Source organism: Homo sapiens, chromosome 6 (assembly GCF_000001405.40).
Source record: "Homo sapiens chromosome 6, GRCh38.p14 Primary Assembly".
NCBI classification, from domain to species: domain Eukaryota; kingdom Metazoa; phylum Chordata; class Mammalia; order Primates; family Hominidae; genus Homo; species Homo sapiens.
This window is the reverse complement of record NC_000006.12, coordinates 83,609,668-83,629,003: the sequence shown is the minus strand read 5'-3', so window position 1 is coordinate 83,629,003 and position 19,336 is coordinate 83,609,668. Positions and strand designations below refer to the sequence as shown.

The 19,336-nt window shown below is 34.0% G+C and overlaps 1 protein-coding gene across 72 annotated transcripts in view; it reads left to right on the top strand.

Annotated features, from left to right (window-relative positions):
* Positions 1 to 19,336, top strand: part of SNAP91 (synaptosome associated protein 91) — a 156,509-nt gene that overhangs the window by 80,390 nt on the left and 56,783 nt on the right. For 58 of the 72 annotated variants that reach the window (NR_164843.1, NR_164844.1, NR_164845.1 and 55 more), the window contains 3 exons: positions 5,662 to 5,703; positions 11,965 to 12,035; positions 18,327 to 18,354. Coding sequence is in view for 68 of the 72 variants with exons in the window: in NM_001376702.1 (NP_001363631.1) it covers positions 5,662 to 5,703; positions 11,965 to 12,035; positions 18,327 to 18,354 (141 nt within the window). In the remaining 4 variants the exon portion in view is untranslated. Of the gene's footprint in view, positions 1 to 5,661; positions 5,704 to 11,964; positions 12,036 to 14,141; positions 14,148 to 18,326; positions 18,355 to 19,336 lie in introns of all 72 variants that reach the window. The other 14 variants (NM_001242794.2, NM_001376695.1, NM_001376739.1 and 11 more) reach the window with 2 other exon arrangements.

The window sequence follows — 19,336 nt, the reverse complement described above, 5'->3', positions numbered from 1 at the left end:
CTAAGATCTGAAACTGTAAAAATTCTAGAAGATAACATTGGAAAAACCCTTCTAGACATTGGCGTAGGCAAGGATTTCATGACCAGGAACCTAAAAGCAAACGCAATAAAAACAAAGATAAATTTCTGGGACTTAATTAAACTAAAGAATTTTTGCAAGGCAAAAAGGAATAGTCAGCAGAGTAAACAGACAACCCACAGAATGGGAAAGAATCTTCACAATCTATACATCTGATAAAGGACTAATATCCAGAATCTACAATGAACTCAAATCAGCAAGAAAAAAAAATCCCATCAAAAAGTGGGCTAAGGACATAAATAGACAGTTCTCAAAAGAAGATACACAAATGGCCAACAGACATAAGAAAAAATGCTTAACATCACTAACGATCAGGGAAATGCAAATCAAAACTGCAATGCGATACCACCTTACTCCTGCAAGAATGGCCATAATCAAAAAATTAAAAAATAAAAAAAAAAACAGTAGATGTTGGCATGGATGTGGTGATCAGGGAACACTTCTACACTGCTGGTGGGAATGTAAACTAGTACAGCCACTATGGAAAACAATGTGGAGATTCCTTAAAGAACTAAAAGTAGAACTACCATTTGATCCAGCAATCCCACTAGTGGGTATCTACCCAGGGGAAAAGAAGTCATACTTGCACACACATGTTTATAGCAGCACAATTCACAATTGCAAAATCGTGGAACCAACCAAAATGCCTACCTATCAATGAATGGATAAATAAACTGTGATATATATATATATATATATATATGTAAAATGGAATATTACTTAGCTATAAAAAGGAATGAGTTAGTGGCATTTGCAGTGACCTGGATTAGATTGGAGACTGTTATTCTAAGTGAAGTAACTCAGGAATGGAAAACCAAACATTATATGTTCTCACTTATAAGTGGGAGCTAAGCTATGAGGATGCAAAGGCATAAGAATGACACAATGGGCTTTGAGGAAATCAGGGGGAAAGGGTGGGAAGAGGGTGAGGGATAAAGACTCCAAATACAGGTGCAGTGTACACTACTATGGTGATGGGTGCTCCAGAATCTCACAGATCACTACTAAAGGACTTACTCATGTAACCAAACGCCACCTCACCTGTTCCCCAATAACCTATGGAAATTAAATAAATAAATAAATGAAATTGACACCCCCAAAACATACAAAGAATCAATGAAATAAAAATTGGTTCTTCGAAAGGATAAACAAGATTGATCGACCACTAGCTAGATTAACAATGAAAAAAAGAGAAGATCCAAATAAATACAATCAGACAGACAAAGGTGACATTACAATTGATCCCACAAAAATAGAAAAAATCCTCTAGACTACTACGAAAACCTCTATGAACACAAAGTAGAAATCTAGAGGAAATGGATAAATTTCTGGAAACACACAACCTTTCAATATTGGACCAGGAAGAAGTTGAAACTCCGTTATTGGTCTTTCAAGTTCTGCAACTGACTTCAGTAGTAAAAAAACCTACTAAGAAATAAAAGCCTTGGACCAAATAGATTCACAGCTAAATTCTATCAGATGTAAAAAGAAGAACTGGAAGCAATTCTACTGAAACTATTTCAATGAATTGAGAAGGAGGGATCCCTCCCTAACTCATTCTGTGAAACCAGTGTCATCCTGATACTAAAATCTGGCAAAGGCACAACAAAAAAAAGAAAACTACAAGCCAATATCCCTGACAAACATAGATGCAGAAATCCTCAACAAAATAATAGCAAATCAAATCTAGCAGCACATCAAAAAGTTAATTCACCACAATCAAGTGGGCTTTATTCCTAGGATGCAAGGTTGGTTCAACATATGCAAAACAATAAATGTAATTCACCACATAAACAGAATTAAAAACCATGTAATTATCTCAATAGATGCAGCAAAAGCTTTCTGTAAAATCCAACCTCCCTTCATGATACAAACCCTCAACAAATTAGGCATTGAAGGAACGTACTTCAAAATAATAAGAACCGTCTATGACAAACCCACAGCCAACATCACACTGAATGAGCAAAAGGTGGAAGCATTCCCTTTAAGAACTAGAACAAGAAAATGATGCCCACTTTCACCACTACTATTCAGCATAATACTGGAAGTCCTACAGAGCAGTCAGGATAGAGAAAGAAAAGGAATCCAAATAGGAAAAGAGGAAGTCAAACTATCTCTCTTTGCTAAGGATATGATTCTACACCTAGAAAATCCTCAAGATTCCATCAAAAAACTCCTAGACCTGATAAACAACTTCAGTAAAGTTTCAGGACAAAATCTACCTACAAACATCAAAATCAATAGCATCTCTATGCACTAATAACTTCCAATCTGAGAACCAGATGAAGAATGCAATCCCATTTACAATAGCCACAAAAAATTGAAAACCTAGGAGTACCTCTAACCAAGGAGATAAAAGATCTCTACAAGGAGGACTACAAAACACCAATGGAAGAAGTCAGAGATGACACAAACAAATGGAAAAACATTTCATGCTCATGGATTGGAAGAATAAATATTGTTAAAATGGCTCTACTGCCCAAAGCAATCCGTAGATTCAATGCTATGTCTATCAAATTATCAACATCATTTTCCACAGAACTAGAAGAAATTATTCTAAATTTATATGAAGCCAAAAAAGAGGTGGAATAGCCAAAGCAATCTTAAGCAAAAAGAACGAAGCCAGAAGCATCACATTACCAGACTTCAAACTATACTACAAGGGTGCAGTAACCAAAACAGCATGATACTGTTACAAAAACAGACACATAGAACAGTGGAACAGAATAGAGAACCCAGAAATAAAGCAGCGTACCTACAAACCACTGATCTTTGATAAGTTGGCAAAAATAAGCATAACAAGGGGAAAGGACTCCTTATTCAAAAATGGTGCTGGGAAAACTGGCTAGCCATATGCAAAAGAATGAGACTGGATCCCCCACCTAACACCACATATAAAAATTTACTAAAGATGGATAAAAGACCTCAAACTATAAAAATGCTAGAAGGAAACTTAGAAAATGCCCTTCTGGATGTTGGCCTTGGCAAAGAATTTATGACCAAGTCCTCAAAAGCAATTGCAACAAAAATTAAAATTGACAACTAAGACTTATTTAAAGAGCTGCACAGCAAAAGAAACTATTAACAGAGTAAACAGACAACCTACAGAATGAGAGAAAATATTCTTCACCTTTGTTTCTGACCAGTGACTAATGTCCAGAATCTATAAGGAACTTAAATAAATCACCAAGAAAAACAACCCCATTAAAAAGTGGGCCAAGGACATGAACAGACACTTCTCAAAAGAAGACATTTAAATGGCCAACAAACATGAAAAAATGCTTAGCATCACTAATCATCAGAGAAATGCGAATCAAAACCACAGTGAGATACTATCTTACACCCAGTCAGAATAGATATTATTAAAAGGCCGAAAAACAACATGTTGGCAAGGCTGCAGAGAAAAGGGAACTCATATATACTGTTGGTGGGAATGTAGTTCAGCCACTGTGGAAAGCAGTTTGGAGATTTCTCAAAGAACTAACAATAGAACTTCTGTTTGACTGAGTAGTCCCATTACTGAGTGTATACCCAAAGGGAAATAAATTGTTCTACCAAAAAGACACAGGCACTCATATGTTCATTGCAGCACTATTCAAATAGCAAAGACATGGAATCAACCTAGGTGCCCATCAGTGGTGGACCAGTTAAAGAAAATGTGGTACATATGCACCATGGAATACTATGCAGCCATAAAAAAGAATGAAATCATGCCCTTAGCAGCAACATGAATGTAGCTGGGGGCCATTATCGTAAGTGAACTAATGCAGAAACAGAAAACCAAATACCACATGTTCTCACTTATTAGTGAGAGCTAAATCTTGGGTACACACATGCAGATGAGAACAGTAGACACTGGGGCCTCCAAAAGCAGGTACAAAGGGAGGAAGTCAAGGTCTGAAAACCTTCCTGTTAGGTACTGTGTTCACTATCTGGGTAACAGCATTAGTAGAAGCCCAAACCTCAGCATCATACAATGTACCCTTGTAACAAATCTGCACTTGTACCCCTGAATCTGAAATAAAAATGGAAAATTTTTAAAAAGAAATAATAATATTTGGTAGTTGCAGAAAAAGTAAAGTCTGGAATTCTGGATTCAAACATTATTTGATCCAGAGAGATTAAGGCAAGTGCTCTACGTCAGTGGTCTCAACAGCAAGTGACTTTGCTTCCCTCCCCTCCTCAAAGGATAGCATTTAGAGATGTTTTTTTGTTATCACACTGGAGAGGGTGTCTACTAGCATCCTGTGGGTAGAGGCCAGGGATGCTGCTAAACATCCTACAGTGCACAAGACACCCCCCAACAAGAATTATCTTCCCCAAATGCCAATAGTGCCAAGACTGAGAAACCCTGCTCTAGACACAGAGAAGAAAGAGGAAAGAAGGTAGTTCAGCATTTGACACACAAATGGATTTTCTGATCTCCAGTTTGCTTTATTGTCTTTGTAGCAGCCCAGCACTTTTGCTTCATGTGTTTACTTCTACATTTCCATCAGTATAATCAAAGCTCTTCATTTCTCAAGGAGATACACTTTGGCTTAACCCACTTTGTTTCTTTGAACCTCAATTTCATTATTTATATAAAAATGATACGATTGAACTTGTGATTTGTGTTTTTCCCCAACTTTTCACTTTGAATAATTTTCAAACCTACAAAAGAATTTATGTATAATGAATAAATATGGTCTCTTCATTGATTTACCTTTATTAATATTTTTTCATATTTGCTTTTCCTCCCTTCTCTCTTTCTCTGCCCCTATCCCCATGCTAACAAAATTAACAATATGCATATACTTTTATCTGGTAATTCCACTTCTACAAGTATATCATACAGATATATACATTACACATGCAAAATGGTGTGTGCAGCACTGTTTGCAATGGCAAGAGATCAAAAGCAACTTTAGTGTCCATTAATAAGTTACTAATTAAATATAGGACAAGGAAGTTCTATGCAGCTGTTTATTAAATGAGGATATTCTGTGTGTTGATATGGATATATGTCTAAGATATATTTTTTAGTGAAACATAAGTTCATTATATATAATATGTTATTATTTGTGTTGTAATGGGGAAATAAGTATATATTTGTATAATTTCATATTTCCTTGAATATACATAAAGAAACTCTGAAAGGATACATAAGAAACTAACAAAGTTAGGTCTGTGGGAGAAAGAGTGGAAATTATACCCTGAATGAGTTTTAGAACTAAATGAGCATTCCCTATCCAGAAGCTGGGCATAATTAACTACTAAATTTAGTCTAAGCAGTGTTTTACATTTTGAGCTTCTGTTAACTAAGGATACCATTACATTTTATGCTTCAATTTGTTGTCATTTGTTTTTGGATTCTAGTAGAATTCTATACATTTGTTATGTCTAACTATATTAATGAAATTACTGCTCTATTATATTGAGTGAAAAACTGCATAAAAAGCATATGTTCCAAGTGAGAGTGATACATAAAATAATTCATTTACACCAATATTGAGCTGTTTAAACTAATTGTGTAGGTGATCTTCCATTAAATGAAAAAAATTAATTTTAAAAGTTCTACTAATTTCTAATTTTTTAAATCCACAGCAAGTTGGTATTGATAAAGGTGACATTCCTGACCTCACACAGGTAAGCAACTCTCCCAGTGGAAGATTCAGTATGCATGAGATTATTACAACATATATTGCCACAAATGGGCATAGTCTTGTAAGCATTTCATGCATTTTGAACTTAGGCCAACCAACTTTCTTGGAAATTATTCTACCTTATTTATTGTTTCTAGCCATTGAATATATTTCTGGAGGTAATAGGAAGATTTTCTTGTTCTTATGATATAGTTTCTTCTTTAAACGCAACTGAATTTAGTAAATGAACTCATCTTTTCATTTTAAACTTGATCAAAAGGAAACCTTGAATAATGTTAATAGAAATGCTTTGGCTATGAAAAGTCACTATTTCTAGGCCTGATAATCAGAATATTAGAACTTTTCCTCCTGCTTGTCTTCCTAGTTTCCAACATGTCCCAGATATGAAGGAGACCCATGAATAGGGAAAACTCTGATGTCACAGTTGAACTACTTGTCTCCCCTATGAAATGGAGAAATGTCCATGTATAAAATAAGCTAATAAAATAGTAGTGGTAGATGAGCAATTTTTCTGGAGCCCATCTAGTAAATGACAACAATAGAGGGGCTTCTGTATCAATCATTTTATCTGTGAAGAGGGTACTGTGTATGGATCCTAATATATAGATTCAAGGTCATTCATGGGTATAGTATAACCTTTCTCATAATTGGCAGGAACTGTTTTTACTTAAGCACTCTGTTATGGTACAGTTATATCCCAAACATGTTATTTAACTAGCAATGATGTTATTGTAGAGATGATAGGAGAAAACACAGAGCTGCTATCTTATTTACCAGTAATGAATATATGAACTTTCTGTCCTTGTAAATATAGTCATTATAATAGAAAAAATTGTCATAATGAAAGATACCTACTTGTTAATAATATCAAAGTGCATTTAGTAATTTGCTGTCCTTATTATGCCTTGAAATGTTTCCATCTTTAAAATAATATTAATCCTTAAGTTTTTATTAAAAATTAGGGAAACTCAAAGAAATGTTATTTGTATTATTAAAATGCCAATTAAATATCAAGAATTCTTTATGAATAAAATTCACAGAGCAATCCAGAACATGATGGCATTGTATTTTTTAGTGAAAAGTTGAGAAGCAGTTCTTTTTCATAGACAGAATATTGGTATAAAATATTTCTGCTACTATGAGAAAACAGTGTTTTTTGACGAGGCACATACCTGAATAAGATATTGGTATCATTTTGGATATGGCCAAAAAATTAAGTGTGCATAAAGTGCCACTAAAAATCTCTTTATTAGATATAGATTTATCTTTGTAACACTATAATTAAAAGCAAAGAAAATAAGTGTGTTTTCATTTAAACTAATCATTTTTAGTAAAATTTATAGTACATTTTAAAAAATAATCCACATAAGTAATACATGTTAACTTTTAAGACATTAAAATATTTAGCTCTGATATTTAGAAGCTAATGAATAGCTTCTAGAAGTGGCAAATCATCTTTATTTCACATCTATGGACACCCTTACTGTAGAATAAAAGAGAAAGTAGGCTCTCAGTTAAGAATATAGGTCCTCATCTATCATACTTAGTTTGGGCAGTCTGAAAGGAAACAAGGAAATATTCAAATGACTACTTAAATCTGTTTTTGCTTTTAACATTAGACAATGAGAGCATGTCATTGAAAGTACATCATTGAAATCATATACTTGGATTAAATTTTTAATGATACTATTATAGTCATTATAATATTTATAATCTCCCCCTCAAGAAGCCCAGAAACATTATATTTTACTGAATGATTTAAGATGTGTGTTTTCATAATTTAGGGAACAGAGACTCCTCCCTCAAAGAAAGTAAAATCTTGCCCTGGGTCTGTTAGAAAGCTATTCTATGGTAGAAATTCATTAGAATCTATTAGCACTCTATTCTCTTCTTTTGTTATGACCTTAAGCGCCACATAAATTTCAATATTAACATTTATTTTTATGTGATACATATACACCATGGGATACTATACAACCATTAAAAAGAAAAGATCATGTACTTTGCAGAGACATGGATGGAGCTTGAGGCCAATATCCCAAGTAAACTGATGCAGAAACAGAAAACCAAATACTGCATGTTCTCACTTATAAGTGGGAGCTAAACATTGAGTATATATGACACACAGAAGTGAACAACAAACACCGAGGCCTACTGGAGGGTAGAAGGTGGTACCCCTGTGACATGCAATTTACCTATATGACAAACCTGCGCCAAGTATCCCCAACCCTAAAAGATTTTTTAAATGGGGAAAAATATTTATTTTTAAATTACCTGTTCAGGCTGGGCGCGGTGGCTCACGCCTGTAATCCCAGCACTTTGGGAGGCTGAGGCAGGCGAATCATGAGTTCAGGAGATCGAGACCACGGTGAAACCCCGTCTCAACTAAAAAAAAATACAAAAAATTAGCCGGGCGCGGTGGTGGGTGCCTGTAGTCCCGGCTACTTGGGAGGCTGAGGCAGGAGAATGGCGTGAACCCGGGAGGTGGAGCTTACAGTGAGCCGAGATCGCGCCACTGTACTCCAGCCTGGGCGACAGAGCGAGACTCAGACTCAAAAACAAACAGAAAAAAAAAAAACCTGTTCATAGAAAAATTCCTCTAGTTCAATACAAGAATATGATATGCTTCTGAAATTTCTTAATACTGTGGTTTCTTTTGGGGTTGTGAGTGACATAGAGCTAAACACCCTTCTTCATTCCTGTGTAGAGCCCCTCGGCAGGTCTAATGGAAGTCTCTAATTGACCTGAGGATTTAGACCTCTGACAGTTATGATCAGGTCTGGGCTAGCATGTGAATTGTTCTGGGGTTAGTCCTTTAGAGAGCTGTTTCATCTTTAAAACCAGGATTAATCTGCAGATGGGTCCGAAGTACCAGGTTATATGGATTCGGTTCTACTCTTCTAAGATTAGATTCTGCTTTCTACCAGGCTTGTCTGCGGCCACCATGGCCATTCAATCTAGCCAGGTAATGAACAAAAATACCTGTCAGAAGAGAGTGTTAAAGAAGAGATGGAGATCAGAAGGGCTTCCTACTGGGAGTAGGAATAGAATGCTCATAACTTAAAAAATGATTAGAATTCCTCTTTCAGCAAAATGGAATGGAGGAATTTCATAGATATCTTTATGAATTTAATGGATATCTTTTAGGTTAGAGACTGTACATTAAACATGAATGCAATCATCTGTAACCCTTTTTAACTTGTACACATAATATCATAATTATTACATTTAAATTATTCACCAATATCAATGAAATTTTTAAGGACATTCAAAAATAACTGTTTTGGGTAAGAACTGAATATATCAGAACTGAAATATTTCTCCTCAGCACTTTCAAATTGTTTCTTAGATCTAATGATAAGAATTTGAATGATCTTATGATTGCTTTTTTTAAATTTGGTTTTAATGATGCTTTATAAGCTATAGCATCTAAATCGTAGATGGATGCTTTCTTTTGGAGCCTGGGCTCACAATCAGCTATGAATTTGTTCCGAGAAAAGAATTTTTTAATATTATTTCCTGTTTGTGGCATGTGTACATTCCAAATGTAAATATCTTCATTTATGAAAAAAATCTTATGTTTTTGATGTCAGGAATTCTGGTTGATACGAAAACTACTGGTAAAGAAGGGTCTCCTTTTAAAGACCATACAACTGATGAATCGGTAACCATATGTTGCTGTTATCAGCTTTCACAGGCTGACTCTTGTTCTTTGGATTGGTGTTCCCATCTGATTGGTCTATTGACTTTGACATTTTTAAAAACAAGCAACTAAAGAGCCTGCTCATTATATTTTGTTATATTAAATTCCTTTTACAACAGCAGAGGCATTCTCAAAGTTTTTGCTCCTTGGAAATTTAAGAGGTGGTTTTCATTTATTGTCTACTGCATGCCCGGATGTCCTCACTGCCATAGATGCAGTTGAGAAAAGGTAGACATTCCTGCACGCCTGGATATTACTATCAAAGTACTTTTTTTCCTCCAAAGACATTTGAGGAATTTATTTCTGTTTGATTTTACATGTTTTTATAAGAAATATAAATGATGAAGCACTTTCAAACTTCTAGGATGGAATGCTCCAAACTTTATTTCCCTTTAAGACAAAAGTCAGTTTGATAGTCTTGTATTCCTTGATCAAATTTCTCTTTCAGCTATTGTGATTTTTTTTTTGTGACTTCTACTTATTTTTTCAATTTTCTCACTTAGAAAGAAACTTTACAAAACGAATAAAATGGGGACCTCTCTTCCTGGGTTTTTTGTTTTGTTTTTTTGTTTTGTTTTGTTTTGTTTTAGGTAACTAAGAAACTTAATAGGAGAAAATATTACCTATTTTTGGTTATCCCGTATTTGTTGCTATTTTGTGACTAAAAATAGCATTTTTCTTAGACCATGTTTTAAACTTAGGTTTAGCCAAAAAAATCACCCTTTCTTTACATTACATTAACATTCAAAGTATCTTAAGTTTTCTAACTGGAAAGAAGTTCTATGGCTTATTTTTTTTCCTTACTGCGATCCCAATGAAAAAATATAAATATGAAAAGTTTATATGCCCAGACCTCCTAAATTCCATCATCGTCATCATCATTATCATCATCACTGGCAATTAGTATGACAATTTTGAAGTTATCAGATGTGAATTCATCTAAAAATTTTGAAGCCATTTATTTTTTTATTTTTAATGTTACTATGTACATTCTTTATTCAATGAGCATTTCTTTATAGTTTATAATCTGGTATCTATAACAAAATTTTCTGTATCTCTTAAAATTCATTTTTTAAACTTAGAAATATTGTCTTAGTTGTGTTTTATTAGAATTTATTAAGTCCATTTTCATCTGAGTTGTATTTTAAAATCCTAATTTTTGTAATTTTCTAAACTTATTAGATGCCGATAATCTTTTTTTTTTAACTCTATAGTTCAAAGCTTTTAAAATAATGCCGACAGGGCTGTTCCTTTCTATCTTACCTTCATCATTTTGATCAAATTAATATTTTGGTTCACTTAGTAATTTTTATATATCTAAATTTACATGTTTTAGTTCACTTGGTAATTTACACTTATAATAATCACATAATTACAAATATAATAATCACATGAATGTTAAGACAGTTTTAAGAGTCTATTAGTGAAATGAAAAATGAATATTAAATAAATGTCCTGAATTTTCAAAATTAAAGATTTTTAGTAAGAATTTCATTCTGTCATTAAAGGTACAGTGTAAAAGATACAGTTATATGAATGTCTGTGAATTCTGTGAGTTCCTTTATCAGTTACCATAGTTACTTCAATGTCCTTCAAAATTAATTTCACATTAATTTAAAGAAGAATTGTCAGAATTAAATATACCTATAAGGGTAGTTATATATTTCATTTAAGAAATGCTATTCTTTGAATGCCTATGCTGCTGTTAAGGTCTAATTTGTATTACAACTATTTGAGAAAGATGAAATGAAATCTCTAATGCTTAAGGAATAGATTGGGTGAAAAATTTGCGTGAACCTATTATTTCTCCTTAAGTATACAGTGAAATGTCATCACTTTATATTGCCTAAAATATTATTTATAAAAGGAAACATTCAAGTATTTCTTAATAAGAGTTGAAACTTATTAAATTTGCCAATACACAGTGCTCTGATATTATATTTGCTAAAAGTTACTTTATTATACATATAAATATATTTTTATATATAAATAGGTCAATAATAAAATCTTAATTGTTATTGATTATTAGAATTATATTCTTTTCCCCACAACTCTCACTCACCACCTTTTTAAAATATATTTAAATGGTTTTTCCTAATATTTCAGACAAACATAGATAAGTGAGATTTTACTGTATTTTCAAATTTCTGTAAATTTGTATTTGGGCACTCATATTTTTGACTTGAATACAAACACTTATTCATTTTTACTATGGTCTTATGAGAAGGAGGTGGTGAACTTGATTTGAGTTTACTGCATATAAGTAATGTATTAGTAAAAGTCTATCCAATGTAATCTCTACACTGAAACCACACTGTAATGCTATTTGTTATGCAGTGGAGTTAAGTCTATTTAAGATGGGTCTGTCTGAAAGTCTATGGAATTTAAATATTTAAATACTAAAAGAACCTGCAATTAAATTATCTCACATATATATCGGGGTCCATCCACAGACTTCCACCATACAGTTACAGTGACATTACAGTGTGTTTACATTGAAAGTAAACAATGCAGACATTTATTTTTACTTTCTTATTGTAGGCTCCCAGCAGTCTTATGGAGACGCTTGAACAGCATCTAAATACATTAGAAGGAAAGAAACCTGGAAACAAGTACGCATTAGTTGTATATTCTAAATAAGATGAAAAATACTACAGTCGTTCTTCTAAGAATGAGATTTATCATGGTACAACTTATATTGCTCTAGTTTTAGGGTATGCTTTGTTATAATTTTCTGGGCTCCCTCAGAACCCCTACTCTTCCTATTAACTTATGACAGTGGGTATAGACAATCTCTCTGCAGGCTAATGCAGCAAATTAGTAGATTGTACCTACATTAACTGAACCTAATGATTTGAACATTTGCCTTTAGAAGGAATTCACAATATATGGAAAAATAGTTACTCCTGTTTAAAAATCAAAGCTGTTATCATTGGACATGAGTGAAAACAAGCACAATTTCACAAGCAGCCTTGAGCACTCTATTATCGTTATCAACCCCACTGTGAAAAAAGAAAAGCCCTCAAGTATAGTTTTTTGGACTCCAGTATCTCCCTACTTGAACTATTAGGCATGGCATACTACTGACATTTTATTCATAGATCCTTTTATATAGAGAATAGCAATCAAGCAATGATAAGTACAGTTTTACTAGATTTTCATACCTCTGTGTTTGAGTACTTATATTTTTGACTATTTTTCCTCACTACATGCACGAAATGTCCAGGTTCCTTTTTTTTTCTTTTTCCATCTCTCCAGCAGGTCTGAAACTTGTCTATTCACAAGGCCTGGTGTTTTCCAATCTTTGTGCCTTTTTCAGACTATAATTCTGCAAGTCTTAGGATGCCCATCCTCCTTGTCCTGCTTTGTAAATCTTATGCATCCTGGGAAGGCCATCTCTAGTCCTACCTTCTCATGAAGCCTTTCTTTATCTTGAACTGCTCAGTATTGTGGCTATTTCTTTTTTTACATGTATGATTTAAGTAGATTTTCTGAATCTAAAGGTTAGGGACTATTTTATACTTCATTATGTCCATTTAAACACTTAATGTATGTCCTCTACAGGGAGAGCTTGGAATCTGTCTCTGTTGATGATACCAGCTTTCTGTTTATTCCATTTTGGTTGACAGCAGGAGTTAGTAGAGACAACCCGTAAAATGATCATTTCAGGGCTGTAGGCTGATCACAGATTTTACCTATGACAGAGCTATCAAAATGCAACTATTTTCTGACTTTGTTGCCTCTGGACATTCTCCCAGAATCTAGGCTTGTGTCTTGATGTTACTTTTTTTTTCTGGTTATTTCATTAGCTGTGTTATTTCTATAATATTTTTTCAAGTTAGTGTAGAAATTATTGCGTGTTTTAAATTTGCAGTGATAAGCAACAGTATAAGAGTATTACAGACAATTATGGCAGAGCTATTTGGAATGATGGATAGTAGGAGCTCTCAGGGGCTCTTTCAAGGTTGTTTCCACAGTCCAGGCTCTGCCTCCAATCTCAGCGTGGCCGGGGATGATCAGACTTGACATGAGAGTACATTAGATCACAATAAGAGATGCCCTAGTTCAGTTATTTCTAGGCCCACCCTCTATTAGGGTATCTGGGAAGCCAAATGAGTTGCCTAGGATTTAAGCAAATGGAGACAGGAAGCTGAGAAATGTTTCTGTTCCTGTGACAGAAGGACCTCTTTAGCTAAGGAAATATGTACATCCGCTAAAGTTAAAATCTCTGTCTTGTGCAGTGCTGGATGCACACTGTAAGTCAGCTTCTCTGCACTCTTCCACTCAGGGTCCCCCAAACCCCATATAGGGCCACACCCTTCCCTTGTTTTTTGTTAAATCTATCAGTGCTGCAGTCACAGAGAAGCCTCCTTGGGTAGCTAGAATGGGTCTCATTAGCCCTGACTTCAAATCTAAATTCGCCCCCTTGTGGTCACCACAAGCTATTTTTGGAAAAAAAAATAGCTATGGACATTTAGTTACATTTCTAGAGAAGTGAAATTTAAAATTCAATAGTCCTCCATTTCAAATTACTTTTTTCTTAGAATAATTTTTCTTTTTCCTTTAAAATCATTTTATGCTTGTCATATTTCTCTTCTGAATTGGCTAAAACCACATTTGAACTTGTCTTTTGCTTATTCCCTATTTTTTAAAATAAATGAACTATAATAGTTAACTATTCTCTTCTTTGTATGTTTGTGCTTACCTTGGAACTTAAGTGAAGGGTGAGTACTGTATGGAGTGAGTTTTTTGCATTTGGTAATTACTAAAAATGCAAAAAACACTCTTAAGATTCCACATTTGGTATTTAGAAGATTTAAAACTGATTTCTGTCCCTTTTACACATCTGTGTTTTTTCATTATGCTTTATTTTTGTCTCCCAAGTTGACTAGCATAAATGGTTTTACTTTCTTTCGGTCTTCTTGGATATAGACTAACAGTCTCTCTTAGATGTATATATGTATTTATATTAATATATTCCTCAGATTTTAGAAATGAAATATTTTTTATTTGTTTAGTAAACAAAAGACTTCCCCATGGCTTATAGCATAAATGCGAAAAGACAAATTTATAAAGAAAATTAATTACTTAAAATTGTTTTATTTGTCTTCTGGTCACAGTATAAAACTATTCTAACCTCCAAACCAAGTATATACATAAATTGAAGCATTTGCAAATGTCTGCTATGAAGAATATGTATGCCCTTTATATTTAGTACCTTGTGTCCACTGCTGTTTATTTCTGTAATTTTATGCAATACTCTGTGATATACCTTTATATATTGTCTGTTTCTATAATTCCACAGGACAAAAGAGAGAAATTTATTTTATTATTTATGTGGGTTTACTAAGTGTTGAGGTTACAGGAAATTTAAGATAAATCTTTTGTAATTCAAGTTATTTGAAGGATGTAGATAGATCTTTCACATCTGTATTTTTTTCTGGCTAGCACTTATACTCAAAATTATGTAGGGATTATTGTTATGACTCATATAAAACTTAACAAAATATTCTATTTGACAGCTTCCTGTTAACATCTTGGAAAGAAATATGGACATTTGCTGTGTTCATAGTGAAACCCATGAGTTTGTAGTAATTTTACAGAATTTAGAGTAGATTACTTATATGGGTCATTCATTTTCTTCTAAAATTACCTTAATGCCTTGTTTTTCCAACATGGTTCATTATCTACTAGATTTTTCTAGGTGAAATTATTAATAGAAGTATTGGTCTTTTTAACAAATATTGTCTATATGTAAATGATGTAGTATCTTCTTTCCTAAAGGGCAATGACTAACATTAGGGTGGAAAATCAAGTGAGAAACACATAAGAAGAGCAATTTATATGTTGTGTAAGAGAGAAGCAAATGTGCCAAGTTTATCTGTGTTTTGGGGGTTGGAATGTGGACTGAGCATAGGCTCTGAGGGGCATATAGACTTGGACTAGAGTCTGGAATCCACCGTTAAAGCATGATGAGACATGGGAAAGTTATTAACCTCTCCGAGCCTGGGAACCTTCAGAGTTTAATCAGTGATTAATGGTGCTTTTGAAAGCTATGGCCCCATTGGAGCACCTCTGGTTCTCAACCTTTTAATTAAATCATGGCAGAAGCCAACTCTGGTTAGAAAACAGAGGTCACGCATCCTGACAGTTTTGTTTCACAGAAAATAACTTTTTAAAGACGTCTGGTTAATTTATTGATTATAGAATGAATACCTGAACATATTCTAATATAAAAATTCAAATAATACAGAAAATGTCAGATGATATGTAAAGTGCTAGGGATATAAAACAATGGGATGAGTTCCTTCCTTTCAAAAAACTTAGTATCTAGTGAAGAAGATAGAGAATTAAACAGGCAACTAAGATGTAATGTGGTAAGTGGGATATCTCAACAGAGACAGTAGGAGGGTTTTGTTTGTTTGCATAATTCATGGGATAACTGCAAGTATCATTTACTAATATTGTTTATGTGGAAGCTTGGCAAAATGATTCTTGTACCAATTATGATTTTTCATACTTAAGTATGATACTCTTTTTTATAGCAGGTAGAACAATTCTATCATTTTTATTATATCTTCATTCTTGCTGTGGGGTAGAAGATGTTATAGAAGAAGTTATAATATTTTAGGTATTAGTTTGGAAATGTATTTCTAAAGCTGTTGATATTTTTTTTTTTTTTTTTTGAGACTGAGTCTCGCTCTGTCTCCTAGACTGGAGGGAGTGCGGTGGTGCGATCTCGGCTCGCTGCAACCTCCACCCACCAGGTTCAAGCGATTCTCCTGCCTCAGCCTCCTGAGTAGCTGGGATTACAGGCGCGTGCCACCACACCCAGCTAATTTTTATTTTTTATTTTTTTGTATTTTTAGTAGAGACAGGGTTTCGCCATATTGGCCAGGCTGGTGTCGAACTCCTGACCTCAAGTGATCTGCCTGCCTTTACCTCCCAAAGTGCTGGGATTACAGGCGTGAGCCACCGCACCTGGCCTCTTCTCTTTTCTTTATTAGTATTTATAATTGTATCAATACCACTAAGAATTGGTTTATGAAAATTGCTTGAGAGAGAAACAAATTAATTTAAATTAATTCATTCTTAGAAAGTGACCATACCAAAGGCTTCTATGTTTTCTTTGTAGAATTCATGCTACTATTTTCTTGAATTTTTATTTAGATTTAACTCCCTTCCTTTTCCATACGTAAAGGGAAAAAATAGTGGAAGTGGAGAAATTATTAGCCAAAACTCACTAGGACATTTCCCACCGTATGCTGTACTAGATTTTTAGGTTCTTAAGGAATTTACTGTAGATATTTCAGTAGACCCTTTGACACGGACAGTATAGATAAAGGTATATCCTTTCCCTCATAGACTATATTACTCTTAAGATAACATTTAGCCAAACTACATGTAACCAAGTTGTTACCCTTATGCTTGTTATATAGCAGAAATCTCTGTGCCCTTGCTACCTGTTGTTTATATTCATTTTAAGTAGAAATTAAATTCAAACAGGAAATGGCAGGCATGTATTTGCAAATGAAGTTGAACTTAAAAGATATTAACTTGGGCCTGGCGCGGTGGCTCATGCCTGTAATTCCAGCACTTTGGGAGGCCGAGGCAGGCGGATCATGAGGTCAGGAGATCGAGACCATCCTGGCTAAGACAGTGAAACCCCGTCTCTACTAAAAATCCAAAAAAAAAAAAAAAAAAAAAAAAAAAAAAATTAGCCGGGCGTGGTGGCAGGCGCCTGTAGTCCCAGCTACTTGGGAGACTGAGGCAGGAGAATGGCGTGAACCCGGGAGGCGGAGCTTGCAGTGAGCTGAGATTGCGCCACTGCACTCCAGCCTGGGTGACAGAGTGAGACTCCGTCTCAAAAAAAAAAAAGAAAGATATTAACTTGGCATATAATACTGTTAAATTTGCTATATCCAATAAGACAAAAATTCATAATATTGTACAAAATTCTACTTACTAAATTTCTGCTGTAATTTTGTTTTGCTGCTGCTATGTGTGTGATATTTTCTCTGTAGATGAGTAAAAAGTCATCCCTGCCATGCAGTAAGGCGGTGAATATAGGCTGCTTATTGAAATGTATTTAGTCTTCATCTTGTTTTGTTATTCATTTTTCACTAACTGAAGTTAGTAAAATGTGAGCTGTTCTGGCAGTTATTTCTGAAGCACTTTCCTAGAAGTGATCTGCAATAGTCAATGCTACCAGTAATATAACTTAAAATTCACGCCTTCCTAATTTTCCCTCATTTTCTTAGAAAAAAGCATCGAAGTTGCTGTTTTTTTCCTAGCTCCCACTAATTATAACAGGATGATGGGAATATTTTTCCTAGAATATTCTTGCTAGAGTTTTTATTACAGCCATGGGGGGGGAAAACAGACTTCAAGAGTATGAATATGGAAGCCGAGACATATTTCAGCACAGGGCCTGTAGGGATCTTCACAGTGTACTTTAACCTAAGTGATTTAAACCACTGGGTGTTGGGGTTTGTCATAATTCTGCAAAGCATGGTTTTTTCCAAGCCTTCTGAAAATGGTTTTAAATTCCCATTTAGACAGTTTGTTTTTTATGGACATAGGCAATAATGTTTGACTCAAAGAATTTGAGTTGCGAGAGATATGGAAAATAATGTTGAATTTAAGTATTTCTAGTACTGGAAATTAAGTAGATGGAAAACAGTGGAAGGGGGTGTCATTATTAAGTAAAAGATTAAAAGTTTTTTAAAAATAGCCTGTCCATTATTTTAAAAGTCTGTATATAAAACAAGTTAGTGCTTGACCAAGTGAAATCCAACTTAAATGCTTCTACAAATATATTCACATATATATTTATATATATATATATATATATATATATATATATATATTCAGTTTTAATTTTTTTTTATGTTGCCTTTTAGATCTGGTGCTCCCTCTCCATTAAGTAAGGTAAGTTTGGTTTTTTGTTTGGGGGTTTTTGTTTTTTGTTTTTTACCATTTTACCATCATAAAGTGTACAGTTCAGTGGCATTATATACCTTAACATTGTTGTACAACCATCCTCTCTATCCATTTCCGGAACTTTTTTTTTTATCTTTCAAAACTGTAACTATACCATTAAACAATAACTCCCCACCTCCCTCTCTCCCCGATCCCCTGGCAACCACCATTCTACTTTCTGTCTCTATGAATTTGATTACCCTAGGAACCTCATATATGTGAGCGCATATAGAATCTGTCTTTTAGTGACTGGTTTATTTCACTTAGCATATCTTCAAGGTTCAGCCATGTTGTACCATGTGCCTGAATTTCCTCCCTTTTGAAGGCCGAATTATATTCCATTATATGTATATACCACACTTTATTCATGCATTCATCCATCAGTAGATATTTGGTTGCTTGTATCATTTGGGTTTATGAATAATGCTTCTGTGAACATGGGTGTACAAATATCTATTTAAGTCCCTGGTTTTGATTCTTTGGGGGTATATACCCAGAAGTGGAATTGCTGGGTCATATGGTAATTCTAATTTAAATTGTTTGAGGAAAGGTAAGTTATGTTTTTATGTATCCTCCTTTGTATTTGTTTCTAAGTCCAATGTAGTATAGTATATGTAATTTAGTCCTTTGTTTGGACTAAATATTTTTAAAGTTGGAGAGATTTTCACGTATTTATATTGCAACAGAAAACAAATGTTATCAGTAGAATGTTTTAATAGTTGTAAAACATTTTTACATATTCTAAATCAGAGTCGTATGAGGTAGGTAATGTGATATTGTGCATGTTTCAAAGGTAGAGAAATCCATTGTAATTGGGTGTCTTTCCACAAATATGCCTTTTAGACAGTTGACTATAATAACTTTAATAACTCGTTTACCTCCTTGTCTCTTTTTTACCATGTGAAAGGACAGGATTAGGGTTATTAGTGAC